Genomic DNA, 13137 nt, shown 5'->3' on the forward strand with positions numbered 1-13137 from the left:
TCCACCCAATTGGGCCGTGAGCTTTTTGAGGGTAGAGGATTGTCTCTTTGTCATTCCTTCATTTGTTCATTTATCCATCCATGCAGCACCTGCTAGGTACCAGGCACTGTGCTAGTTCTCGTGGGATTTATAATAAGAAATCAGAGATATGCTTCCAGTTAATCCCCACCGTGAACTAAGTACTATATCCAAGAACCCAACTAAATGTGATAGCAAAGGATGAAAAAGTGTGTGCCTGCAAGGACAGGGAGAATAAGCCAGAGAAGACTGCAGATGAGAGACTGCAGCTCAGAGAGGTGAAAAGAGACAGACAGGTGGTAACTAGCTCCCATCCAGCTTTTTCCACTCTGAGGCGGGCCGGCCATCAAGGGATCCAACAAGAAACAAGGTAAAAGTCTCTCAAACTGGAAGCCTCACATACATCCGAGGCAGGGGGGATCAGCTGAAAGCTCTCAGATAATGCCCTCCACCAAAATGAGGACAGAAGCCAAGAAAGAGAATGGCGTGGCGTCTGGGAGGCAGGAAGTCCAATTCTGGAGAGTGGTGGAGGCGAGTCGCAGGGCCTCAGGGCTCTGCAGGCCTGGAGAGCGCTCCAGGGAGGGAAGGTGCCGCCAAAGGAACAACAGACTGATCAGATTACCGGAGGTATGTGACTACCTGGAGAGGAGGTTTAAAGTCTGGTCAGAGAGTTTGGGGATAAACTGATGAAGATGCATAGAAAGCTCAGGGGCCGGAGCTTGGTGGCTCAGGACTGTAAATCCCAGCGCTTTGGGAGGCCAAGGTGGGAGGGTCACTTGAGCCCAGGAGTTTGAGACCAGCCTGGGCAATTTAGGGAGACCCATCTCTTCAAAAAACAAACAAACAAACAAAACAAAAAAACTGGCCAGGTGTGGTGGCACGTGCCTGTAGTCCTGTAGTCCCAGCTACTTGGGAGAATCTCTTGAGCCCGGGAGGTTGAGGCTGTAGTGAGCCATGATGGCACCACTGCACTCCAGCCTGGGTGAGACCCTGTCTCAAAAGCAAAAACAGAAACCTCAGGGAATAAACAACAACCAACAGGAAAATTAAACTTTAGGAACCAAAAAGTTTTTTTTGTTGTTGTTGTTTTTGTTTTTGAAATAGAGTCTCACTCTGTTCTCCAGGCTGGAGTGCAGTGGCGCGAACTTGGCTAACTGCAACCTCTGCCTCCCAGGTTCAAGCATTCTCCTGCCTCAGCTTCTCAAGTAGCTGGGATTACAGGTGCGTGCCACCACACCTGGCTACTTTTTGTGTTTTTAGTAGAGACGATGTTTCACCATGTTGGCCAGGCTGGTCTTGAACTCCTGACCTCAAGGGATCCACCTGCCTTGGCCTCCCAAAGTGCTGGGATTACAGGCGTGAACCACTGTGCCCTGCCCAAAAAGTTTTACATTAAAGGAAATATAATCCTAATATGCTGTATGGCTCAGCTAGAATAATATTTACGTGTCGTAACACTAATGTAAACATGGGATGCTGAGTTAATAAAAACTGTAGTGTAAGTACAGAGGCAGGATGGGGGAGGAGGAGTGGGCAGTGGGCCCGTTAAATCCTCCTAATGGGAAGTTAAAATACAATCTTTGCTAAGTCAATAGATAAAATCGAAAATAAAAGAGCCATAAATTTGTCGTGTATGCATATTACATAGAACTGAGTCGGCCAACAGAGGTGGAAGTAAGCCTGGGGCTGGGGAAGGGACAGATGTTCTTTCTTCATAGCCATGAAGTCCTATTTGACTTTTAAAAGTTATGTCCATGTCACTTTTTTCTTTTTTGAGACAGAGTCTCGCTCTGTCACCCAGGCTGGAGTGCAGTGGCGCGATCTTGGCTCACTGCAACCTCTGCCTCCCGCGGAGAGACTACAGGCACGCACCACTACACCTGGCTAATTTTTTGTATACACAGGTTTTTGCCATGTTGACCTGGTCTCAAACTCCTGAGCTCAAGCGATCCACCCGCCTTGGCCTCCCGAAGCGTGGGGTTTACAGGCGTGAGTCACTGTGCCCAGCTATGTGTCACTTTTATAACAAACTTATCTTTTTAAAAAAAGAAGGGAGGGGAAGGCCGGGCGTGGTGGCTCATGCCTATAATCCCAGCACTTTGGAAGGCCAAGGCAGGTGGATCATGAGGTCAGGAGATCGAGACCATCCTGGTTAACACGGTGAAACCCCGTCTCTACTAAAAATAACAACAACAACAAAAAACTAGCTGGGCGTGGTGGCGGGTGCCTGTAGTCCCAGCTACTTGGGAGGCTGAGGCAGGAGAATGGCGTGAACCCAGGAGGCGGAGGTTGTAGTGAGCCAAGATTGCGCCACTGAACTCCAGACTGGGTGACAGAGTGAGACTCCGTCTAAAAAAAAAAAAAGGAGGGGAAAGGAAAAACAGAAGCCCCTAGTATATGGGTCCATGCACCAATGTGGACCCCCCACCTTGCCCTGCTGAAGCACCAAAGGATGCGCAGTGCAGGTGGATCAGCACAGGTGGCATGGCTAAGGACTCAGAGAGGGACTGAGCCTGCGAGCCTGCGGGAGGTCAGAGACAGATGCCGATGTGAAAAACTAATCCGCACTAAGGGGTTAATTGCTCCATCTCTCAGCTATCACAAGGGCTCTTCAGCAGCTTGCTGATGCTCCATATATACTCACTAGCTAGAAGCTTTGACCCTACATTAGAAAGCAACCCCTGGGTGGGATGTAGCTCATGGTAGCCACCCCTGGAGAGGTGTTAGGAGTGCTCAGTGGAGACTGCACCCCTTCCCTTCCCCCATGGGTCATCCAGGCTCAGGGTCTTATGTTTCCCAGGTTCCATGTTGAATGCATGACCTGAAGGGTGAGGGTGCAGGTTTGCATATATAGTTTCTCATATGCACGTGTGTGCACAGGTGTGCACATGTTGACGTGTATGTGAGGGCATGTGCCTGTGTGAATGGTGTCTTCAGTGGAGGGGCGTGAGTCTGTTCACTCCCTGCACACAGGAACAGAATGGGGAGACTCAGAGCCTCCTTCTCCTGTTTGTTTTGTTTTGTTTGAGATGGAGTCTTGCTCTGTTGCCAGGCTGGAGAGCAGTGGTGCGATCTCAGCTCACTGCAACCTCTGCCTTCTGGGTTCAAGCGATTCTCCTGCCTCAGCCTCCCAAGTAGCTGGGACTACAGGTGCCCACCACAATGCCCGGCTAATTTTTGTATTTTTAGTAGAGACGGGGTTTTGCCATGTTGGCCAGGATGGTCTCGATCTCTTAACCTCATGATCTGCCCACCTCGGCCTCTCAAAGTGCTGGGATTACAGGAGTGAGCCATCGCGCCTGGGCCCCTGCAGATGTTTTTAGAGCTGGCCGTTAGCCAGAGCTGTGTAGCCCACAAAGGAAGTCCTGGGAGCCCCCGCCTGCTCTCTCGATGGGCCTCTGCCATTCTTCTTCACCACGAGACTACGCATCCTCTTCTCTCCTTTGACAAACCTACTTGTAGGTGAGACTCTGAGAGGTTTGCATTTTTAAAAAGGACAAAGTGTTAAGCTAAAGGAATGAATCTTTAACGGTGGGATTTCAGGCCTCTTCCTCTTAGGGGAGGTTTTATTTGTTTTGGCTCTGGCTTGGTTTTGGCAGGGAACCTCCCCTGTGTCCCTGGAGCCACCCTGAAGCCCTAAGATCCCTCCTGGAACTGTCAGCTGGGTCACTCTCCCCTTTCGACAGAGCATTTCCTGGGGTGGGAGTCGAGGTGGGGGACATCAGCTTCCTTAAGCTCCAAAGTAGCCCACCTGCCAGGGACCCATGCCCTCTCTGCTGAGCCTTCAGCCCGTCCCCTTCTCTCCTGCCTGCCCTGCTCTGATACAGCCTCCCCCAGGGGAGGCCAGGAAAGATCCACCCCCACTCCTGAGGGGCCGGGGCTGGCCAGGCCGCAGTGGGCAGAGGGCATCCCAGCCACCTCTGCATCTGACTCCACAGCTGTGAGACAGTGCCAGCTCTTACCTGGACTTAGCCCACCTCAGTCGCTGGGGATGCAGCTGCTCTCTCTGAATGGGAGCCTCCAAGAGTCAGATGCAGCAATAAGCCCCTCATCTTCTGCTGGGGCCCCCAGTAGTAGGCTCTGGGGGCTTTGTGCACCAGGGCAGGCTGCAGGGATGTATCAGGCTCTCCCCTCCTCTCCAGAGTGGGGGACAGTTTCATACTCTGCCTGTCACCTTCTCTCCAGGGCAGCCTTGTCTCAGGCCCCATGCTCTGCAGGCCTGCAGGGCCAAAGAGGGAGAAGCCTGGGTGTCTCTGTCTGGCCGAGCCAGCTGGGATGAGGGTCTGGGGACAGGGTTGCATCCCTGGCCTTCCCAGGGCCCAGTCTCCTCATCCTCAGTCTCCTGGCCCCAGGAGACCCCCAGTGGAGCTGAGAGGGCTCAGTGCTGGGGATGGGGCTCGACGGACCCTGGCAGCCTGCTGTGTGGCACTCAGAAGGGGAAGAAGATCTCAGCCCTAGCACAGAGGGCTGGGAGGCTCAGGCACAGAGAGCCTGGTCAGCAGGCCCCATGTTGGCCACACGAGTGACCCTTCTGGGGGCCTGAACCCAGAGCTCTGTCTCCTGGGACGCCAGCAACCCTGCTTCAGCCCCACAGCCTGCCCGGAGCCCTTGTGTGTTCAGCCTGGGGCTCCTCACTGGAGGCCTCAGAGCTCCCCTCTCCCGTGGCCCCAGCCCAGCCTGGCTGCTGTCCTTGCCCTGGCCTGACCCCTGCATGACACTTGTGAGAAGCTGTCAGCCTGGGCTTAGGGCCAGTGACTGGGGACTCTGCCCTGAAGCAAGGCAGCCTGACCCCGGTGTCACTCCTGTCCCCAGAACTGGTAGGGAGGTTGGCCTTCCTCCCCTCCTGCTGCACTGCTGACCCCTGCTGGCTACCCTCGCACACCCTCCCCACACAGGCATTTCTCCACAAGGATCTGCTGCTTGAATGCTCCCAGCACAGGGGGCTCAGCACCTTGCACAGCCTGCTCCAGTGAGAGACACTTCTGCCTCTCTGAAAAGTTCTTTATCATTAGCTGAAGTCTGAATATTAGTTACTTCTATCTGTTATTCTTAGTTATACTGTCTGTAGTCACATGTTTTCATAATAACAATAACAACAACAGATACTGTCTGTGTGCCAGGCGCTGTCCACTATGTCATTTAATCCATTCAACAGCTGTGAGATTGGTGCCTGTGTCATTCCCATTATACAGATGGGAACGTGAGGCCCAGAGAAAGCGTGTCGTCTAAGGCCACCCAGCCATGAAGTCAGGAAGCCACTGAACTTGGAATTGGAATCCAGGGCCCAGGCCTTGCCAGCTGTGCTGTGGACGGCACTGCCATCCCACACCCACCATCTGCTTGTCCCTCTCTGGCTGGTTCTTATTTCCCCACCAGGCCCTGTGGCCCCAACATGAACTCACTCCTCCTCCTCCTCCAGACCTTGCAGCTGGATTGACTCTGCCTCCTGGAAGCCCTCCAGGGACAGCAAAGAGTGAGGAGTGAGCCACCTGCCCCCTCCCTCCTTATCTTCTGACAGGGAGGGAAAAGGAGGGAAGGGGATAATGGGGTCATATCTGCATGTGGTGTTAGTGGGTCTTCAGTGAAGAGGGGTCTGATCCTACTGCTCCCCTCTCCTCCAGACCTGAGGTCCTCACTCAGAGCCTGGCAGGGCCCCGGGAGTCTGCATTTGGTGGGCTGGTCTGGGCTTGCTCTCACACTGACCCTTGGCAAGATGACCATGGCTGCGGCAATGGGGGTGACATCTTCCTACAGGTTCGTGCCCCGGCCCTGCCCAGCAGACACCAGGTTCTTTTGGGGTCTCAGTAGTGCTGAGAGGGCAGGGCTGGGGTACAGACTTCATTGCCCCTCAGAGGACAAGGAACAGGGAAGGGCATGGAGGGGCTTTCTAGGTTCCAGCCTCCCTGGAGCACAAGGTCACATGCGGAGTGAGGAGCTGTGTGGGAGCATGAGGGGTGGGACGACTCCGGGCAGTTCTGGTTCCCAGAGGTCTGGAGTCCCCCTTCCTTTTGTGACCCTTGGCCACACTCCAGGGCCACAGTTCTGCAGTCATGCTCAGGAACTTCAGCCTGGCTGCTACCTCAAACCCCTTCCATTTCTCAATTTAACACGGAGACCAGGCACACAGCTCCCCAGGGAGAAGTACCACATTCAGGAGGATTTGGATTCCTGCGGGTGAGAAACTCGGCCCAGCTTTCATCAAAAGCTTGCCTGGAATCACACTATCTCAGTGTAGGGCAAGACCTCAGTGCATGCATCCAGCTCTATCCATCCATTCAGGGCTAGCGTCCCTGCCGAGTGACCATGTAACTCTGCTTACATACCTCCAGTGACCTAAGCCTCACTACCTCTTAGGGCAGCCCAAAGCCTTCCTCCTCCTGTAGAGCTGGGGTTTGTTTTCAGAGGTGTTCACTCACAAAGCCCAGCCCTGCCCCCTTAGGCGTCCTCAGAACCAGCCTAACCCTCCCTCCTATAATGTTTAGAACAAGTGACCATCTTCCTGCTGAACCTTCTACCCAACCAGAGCCAAGAGAGAGGGCCAGTAAGAACCCCCTTGGAGAACTGGGAGGTGCCCTCCAGAAGGGAGAGAGGTATCTAACGTAACTAACTCCCAACCCTCAGCTGCTGCTGAAACTTCAAGCCCGGCCTTGTCAGCTTTGGTGGGAGAGTGGAGAGAAAGTTCTTGTAAAACTGACCTGTTTTCCCTGCACTTTGGGGGATCTCAGAGGCCCAGGCCAGACTTGCAAGGGAGATGTGTAAAGAGAGAGAGGGCTGGTGGTGCCTGGGCCACAGGGAAGGAGAGACAGGGTGTGGAGGAAGCTGTGTCCCTGCCCAACAGATCCTGGGCTTCAAACCCAGGTGCCCTGACTCCTGAGCCCCCACTGCCCTCCCCAGCCTGGGTGCTACACCTTTATTAATGCAGCCGCAGACCAACCCTGCCCCTGCCAGCCCCTGCCAGCCACTGTTGCCCATAGAACTGACCATCATCATTAAACCCCCAAGCCCACACCAACCTCAGCCCCCCACCCACTCCCCACCTCAGGCCTGTGCAGTCAGGTCTGTGGCCCCGACGGTGGCGGGTGTTTCACTTTTTTCCTCCTGTGAGCCTCATTCCTCCCAATTCCTCAGCACATGGAGGCAGGACACAAGTAAATAAATAAGGTGAAATAAACATGTTTGTCCCTGTTAAGTTTCATCTCATTAGATCTACCTCATCACTCCCGCCTGTCAGCTTCTCTTTAGATCCCAGCTCTGTCATCTGGCATATTTGCCATCGTTCCCTCCAGCTGTGTGGCATCTGCAAATTTGATAAAGTACATGGAGCAGGTTTGTCTCAGAGGAAGCCCCTCCCCCCACTGGGTGGCTGGAGCATAGGCGTGCGCGTGCGTGTCAGTGTGCCTACATGCGAGCATACACACACACGCACACGCACACACTTCCCTCTCTCTGGCCCGGGCTCCTCACTCCTGTCCAGTCACCTTCAAGATCCTGGTGGGGCCTGTAATCGCAGTACTTTGGCAGGCTGAGGTGGGCGGATCACAAGGTCAGGAGATCAAGACCATCCTGGCTAACATGGTGAAACCCCATCTCTACTAAAAATACAAAAAATTAGCCGAGTGTGGTGATGGGCGCCTGTAGTCCCAGCTACTCGGGAGACTGAGGCAGGAGAATGGTGTGAACCCGGGAGGCAGAGCTTGCAGTGAGCTGAGATCGCGCCACTGCACTCCAGCCTGGGTGACAGAGCGAGACTGTCTCAGAAAAAAGAAAAAAAAAAAAAAAAAAAAAAGATCCTGGTGGGGATCGTGGGCACCTGCTCCACACAGGGCCTGCATTGAGCAGCAGCATGCTGTGCACATGAGTCCCTGCGTGGGATGGGACGCTCTGAGATGTCCACCCTACCTCACTTCCACTTCCACTGACTGACCTGGTTGGGCCCTGCTGGCTTCTTCCACCAAGCTTTGGTCAAAGCTGACTGGCTGGCATGGGCCCCGGCTCTCCTGGGACTGCTGTGTGGCCCTCCCTTCACTGCTAACCTGCCTGTGCAGCACCCAAACGTGCAGCCTCATCCTCTCTGCTGCGGCTCTGGCTGCTGCTGGTGGAGCTGGCATGGCTGCGTGGCATGAGGACTCCTTGCCTATGCACCTACTGGGCGCCGCTTCTTTCATTCTTCTCTTCAGGGGACTCCAGACCTTGTGTAGGTGGTAATTGCACAGCGAGGGTAGCCAGCTTGGAGGGATTGGCTGCAGTGCCTCACTACAGAATCTGCCAGACACTGCCCTGGTCTCTGCACCAAGGCTTAGCAGAGCCAAAACATCCTACGGCCTGGATACGCCTTCCGGAGTCTTCACATCCATTCCCCACCTTCCAGGCACTGAATGTTGGTGGGTAGAGGACTCAGGTGTTCCCCCGCCTCCCCTACTGCAATGCGAGTGTGTGTCCTCCCCTCACGGAAGATGGCGATGGCCAGTTACCTGTGCCGGCTATCACGGGCCATCGGGTGCTGCAGTAACAAACCCTGGATTCTTGGTGGCTTATGACAACATCGGTTGGTTTCTTGATCACACGGTACCTTATGGGGCAGCTAGAGCTCCTGCTCCCAGTCGCTGTTGCTCTGGGACCCAGGCTGAGGGGCAGCCCCCAGCTGCAGCACCATGCCCTGACAGAGGCAAAGAAGGGGCTCTTAATGGTTGTGTCTTGAAGTGCCATTTGTCGCTTCCGTTCACATTTCTTTGGCTAAAGCAAGTCATATGGCCATGCCTACTTTCAAAGGGGTGGGGAAATCTAATCTTTTCTGGTGCCAGAATTTTGGCAAATGGCTTCAGTGACTACTCTGTATATGAGCTGTTCCTATCCCTCAGGGTTGCCCCCAGTTCCCACAATACCTCTTGGATGCTCATTCTGGGTCCAGTGTAGAATGTCCTTCCCCTCCCACCTGGGGTCTGCGTACCCAGGGTTTGCCCTGGGTGCTCTCCTTTGCTCTGCAATGCATATCTCCCCTCTCCTCTTCTGCTCCCAGTGCCCATCCCTTCCTTTGAGGGTTGCTCCTCTTCCCTGTGCCCTTATGATTCTGACCAGCCGCCAAGCATGGTTCTGTGCCCTGACCCAACGGAGGCACGGGGCTCGGTCCTCCCCCGCCTGTGCCCCACCATGGTGCTCCATCCCAGGGATTGGTTGGGAAGTGGGTCCCTCCTTCGTCTCATATGTGTCCTCTAGAAGGGACCTCTAGAAAATGTGGCTCATGCCCAGGACCTGATACTTCCCCTGCCCCTGGGTGGAGCTTCTCTGAGGCCTGCCACCCTGCCTCTAGTGGATTGGTTTACGTGAGCCAGCACATTCACCTTGTGCTGAAGTTTGTCTGAGTTGTGTTTCTGGGGGATCTTGTCCATTCTTGTGTTAATTATCTATTGGGAGTAACAGTCTACCCCCAAACTTAGTAGCTTCATGGTATAACATTTCATAAAAACTTCACACACACACACACACACACACACACACGCACGCACACACACACAAAATTGTTGAAACCCAGATACGGCCTGCACCTAAGTTAATAGGATTGTATCAAGGTCAGTTTCCTTGTTTTGATAGTATGTTGTGGTTATGTGGGATATTATCATTGGGGGAAGCTGGGTGAAGGGTACACACGAACTCTCTGTACTATTTTTGCATCATCTTGTGAGTCTTAAACTATTTCAAGTTAAAAAGTAATAATAGGAATTTGGTGGCATAAGACAACCATTATTTACTTATGCTTCCACCCTTTGGGCAGTGTGTGGTGGGAACAGCTTATCTTTTCACATGGTGCATCTGGGCTGGTACAGAGTAGCTGCACTCACGCATCTGTTGTGTCAGCTGGGATGCTGGAACGGTGGGGCTGGCCAGGCATCTCTCCCCACAAGGCATCTCCAGCTGGGCAGCTGGACCTCTTTCTATGGAGACTCAAGGCCTAAGAGGGCAAAAGGGGAGGCAACGAGGCCTCCTGAGGCCTCAGACCGGAGCTGGCCAGTGTCCTTCTCACCACATTCCACTGGTCAGTGCAGTCATGGGGCCAGCACAGATTCAGGGGAGACAAAATAGACTCCACTTCTTGATGAAAGGAGTGGCAAGGAACGTGTGGCATCTTCAACCCACCGCCATTGCCAAGTATGTCAGAGACTTCTGAGTTTGTCAGCTGAGATCTAGTCCAACTTTCTCACTTGGGATGAGGAGATGGCAGCTGGAGACAGGAAGAGGGTCAGCCACATGGGAAGTGTCATGGACTTAGGGACAGAGCTGGACTTCCAGCCAGGGCTCATCCACCCTCACCCCATCCAAGCCCTCAGCTCCACGGGTGGGACAGCCTCACCAGCCTGGCATAGCTGCTGGATTCTGTTTTGCACATGTTGGTGTTTGCAATCAGAAAGTTCAGCGGTCCTTCCAGTGTGCTTAAATTAGTCCCCATGAAAACCAAATCATTTCATTTGCAGAGAAGGGCTTAATTGCAAGGGGAACGAGGCAAAGGGAATTCTGTTGCCTGTTTTCATTGAAGAAAATTACTGTACTTTCCTCTGTCTCCTTACTAAACAGAAGCAGCTTAGAAATTGGGCTGTAATCATCAGTGATACCTCCTTTACCCTTTCTTCTCAGAGGTTGTTGTTCAGCTCTTTCCCTGTTCCAAGACTGTACTCGGGACTGTTCCTACTTATCTGCCCGGCCAGGGCAGCCCAGTCCTGGTCCCTTAGTGGGTAACGCTTTCACGGTTTGCAATATAGCCATCCGTCCCTGGAATCTCACCACACCTTCACGATGCTGAGACAATCACCCTGACTTCATGGAGGAGCCTCAGTGATGAACTGGGCCACACTCTTGGCAGGAAGAAACATCCCATCACTTTCTTTAGAAACCAAGTTAAACCTGCTTCAAGCTCTCACTCACAGGGCTGGTGAGAAGTCATGTTTTAGAGGGCCTTCCTGGCCAGCGTCTTATACAAATCCTGGAGTTTGTGTGGTTCTGTGCCCGGCCTCTAGACCATCTTCACCACGGCTTCTTCTGTCATGTGGTGCTGGGGGCTAGGCAGGTCCTCGGGGCTCCCCTGGCTGTTCCACTCAAGGAAATGCAAGTAAACACAGCTGCTCCTGGCCAATTTGTCTGGCTAGTCTGGGAGACTTGTCCCATCTCATACAGTCCAGCCTGGTCCCCTCTGTGGTCAGAACAAGGCTGCCTTCCCAGAGATAGCCTGCAGGGGGCGGGGTGTGTGCTGCAAGGCAGTGGGAGGGCTGGGGCTGTGGCAGATCAGAGTCACTCAGATTGGAAAAAGAAACACGAGTAAACAAAACCAGCCTGAAAGGAAACTGGAGGAATCCAGACGTTAGAAACTCAGTGCCAGGTTGGGCACGGTGGCTCATGCCTGCAATTCCAGCACTTGGAGAGGCCAAGGCAGGAGGATTGCTTGAGCCCTGGAGTTTGAGACCAGCCTGGGCAACGTAGTAAAACCCTGTCTCTACAAAAAGACAAAATTAATCAAGCATGGTGGCATGTGCCTGTGGTCCCAGCTACCCGGGAGGCTGAGGTAGGAGGATTGCTTGAGTGACGGAGGCTGCAGTGAGCTGTGATTGCACCATTGCACTCCAGCCTGGGCAACAGAGCGAGTCTGTCTCAAAAACAAAACAAAAAAACCTCATTGCCAGGTTCTTCTCCTTCTGGGATCGAGGTTTCCATTAATCTATTTCTTGAATATTTATTGAGTGCCTCCTGTGGGCCTGGCAGTGTTCTGATTGCTGGGGACACAGCAGTGAATGAGCCAGACAGAGGCTTGTGTAGTAACTCACCTAGATACAGGGATAAAGTGATTTGCCCAAGATCCCAGCCACTGAAGGCCAGAGCTGGTCCTGAGGATGCTGAGCCCTAGGCCTCCACCCCCACCCGTGTGCAGCGTCACTCCTGGGAAAACATGGGGGCGCCAGGTGGCATGGTGCCCACGGGGTCCTCCCACCTGCCCTCATCCCTTGCCTCTGTGTCCCTGCACATCATGGGACCCTCTGTTCAGACTCTCTGCTTGTGTCTAGAACTTTCTCTGGGGATGGGTGGAGAGGCTGGCCTGGCTGCCCGGGGAGGACTGTTTTGGAACAGTTGGGTGACTTAACTGTATAACCGCTCTCCCGCGCCTTCCTTTTGGGGGAGACCGACAGGATAATGGATTTGAGTCCACACACCTGCCTCAGCAAAGGGATTTTTTTTTTTTTTGAGGCTCAAAGTCAATGGTGTATTAATTAAGGGGGAACAGCTGCTACCGCAGCTCTTATGATAAGTCAGTGACAAATGGCCATGTTTACCATCTTCTTGAGTCGAGACTCCGGAAGGTGGCCTGGAGCTCCTTGGTGGATGTCCATGGCTGAGATTTGTGGGGTACAGCCTCCCCTTCCCTGCCCCTGAAGCTTCTTTATCGGTGTCCACTGTGGCCCGAGAGGGCCGTCTGTCACCGAGAAAAGACAGGTCTGCAGCCCAGGGAGCTCTCTGAAGGGATTTGGGCAGAGAAACTGGGATCTCAGCAATCACTCCAGCCCACAGATGCCCTTGGACAAACCCACCGCCCCATACTGTCCCTTGTGAAATAAGAGCTGCTTGAAAGGGGACTTGGCCCTGAGAAGCTGAGGAAGGTGGAAAGCCTGCTCTGAAATGTCTGCAGCCTGAGTGAGGCCGAGGACACACCTCGGGGCCTCTGCGCCAAGGCGCTCTGTGTTCCAGAAAGGAAGAAGCTGGGCTGGCAGGGGCCTTTTGTTATTTAGTTTATTTTGATCTCGCTCCTGCTCTCCAAACAGCTTCACAGAAATAGAGCCTTGCATTAGCTCCCTTCTCGGCTTAAAACAAAACGTGGCAGAGGGAAAGTCTTTCATGAGGAACAGAAAAGGGAAAGACAGGCTCATTTTTTCCCGAGTTGCGTTTCCAGGTCCTTTGACTATGGACCCAACTGTGTGACTCTAGTGACGAGGATAACAGGCTGGTGCTCACTGTGAACGGGAAAGGTGACCACAACAGCCCACAAGCCCCATGGGGCATGGCAGGACTGGCTGCCTTCTTGGGGTGACTGACCTTGGGGCCTCTGCAAAAGGAAGGACAGCAGTGAGATCCAGAAGCACACTC

General features: G+C 53.6%; 1 protein-coding gene across 1 annotated transcript in view, besides 4 other annotated features; it reads right to left on the minus strand.

Moving 5' to 3' along the window:
* Positions 1-4643, minus strand: part of IP6K3 (inositol hexakisphosphate kinase 3) — a 40484-nt gene extending 35841 nt beyond the window's left edge. Inside the window, exon 1 of the mRNA XM_024446324.2 lies at positions 3981-4643. The gene's annotated coding sequence lies outside the window, so the exon portion shown is untranslated. The remainder of the gene's footprint in view (positions 1-3980) is intronic.
* Positions 3668-4271: an enhancer, noted in NCBI's record as "H3K4me1 hESC enhancer chr6:33728947-33729550 (GRCh37/hg19 assembly coordinates)". NCBI's record gives its function as "activates a minimal SCP1, AML or CMV promoter by ChIP-STARR-seq in naive H9 embryonic stem cells {active_cell/tissue: H9 hESC(naive)}" and the evidence as "EXISTENCE:reporter gene assay evidence [ECO:0000049][PMID:30033119]".
* Positions 12274-12808: an enhancer, noted in NCBI's record as "H3K27ac-H3K4me1 hESC enhancer chr6:33737553-33738087 (GRCh37/hg19 assembly coordinates)". NCBI's record gives its function as "activates a minimal SCP1, AML or CMV promoter by ChIP-STARR-seq in primed H9 embryonic stem cells {active_cell/tissue: H9 hESC(primed)}" and the evidence as "EXISTENCE:reporter gene assay evidence [ECO:0000049][PMID:30033119]".
* Positions 12274-12944: a biological region, named in NCBI's record as "Sharpr-MPRA regulatory region 8162".
* Positions 12650-12944: a silencer, noted in NCBI's record as "tiled region #8162; K562 Repressive non-DNase unmatched - State 20:ReprD". NCBI's record gives its function as "represses a minimal TATA promoter and a strong SV40 promoter by Sharpr-MPRA in K562 cells {active_cell/tissue: K562}" and the evidence as "EXISTENCE:reporter gene assay evidence [ECO:0000049][PMID:27701403]".

Source organism: Homo sapiens, chromosome 6 (assembly GCF_000001405.40).
Source record: "Homo sapiens chromosome 6, GRCh38.p14 Primary Assembly".
Taxonomy (NCBI): Eukaryota; Metazoa; Chordata; class Mammalia; order Primates; family Hominidae; genus Homo; species Homo sapiens.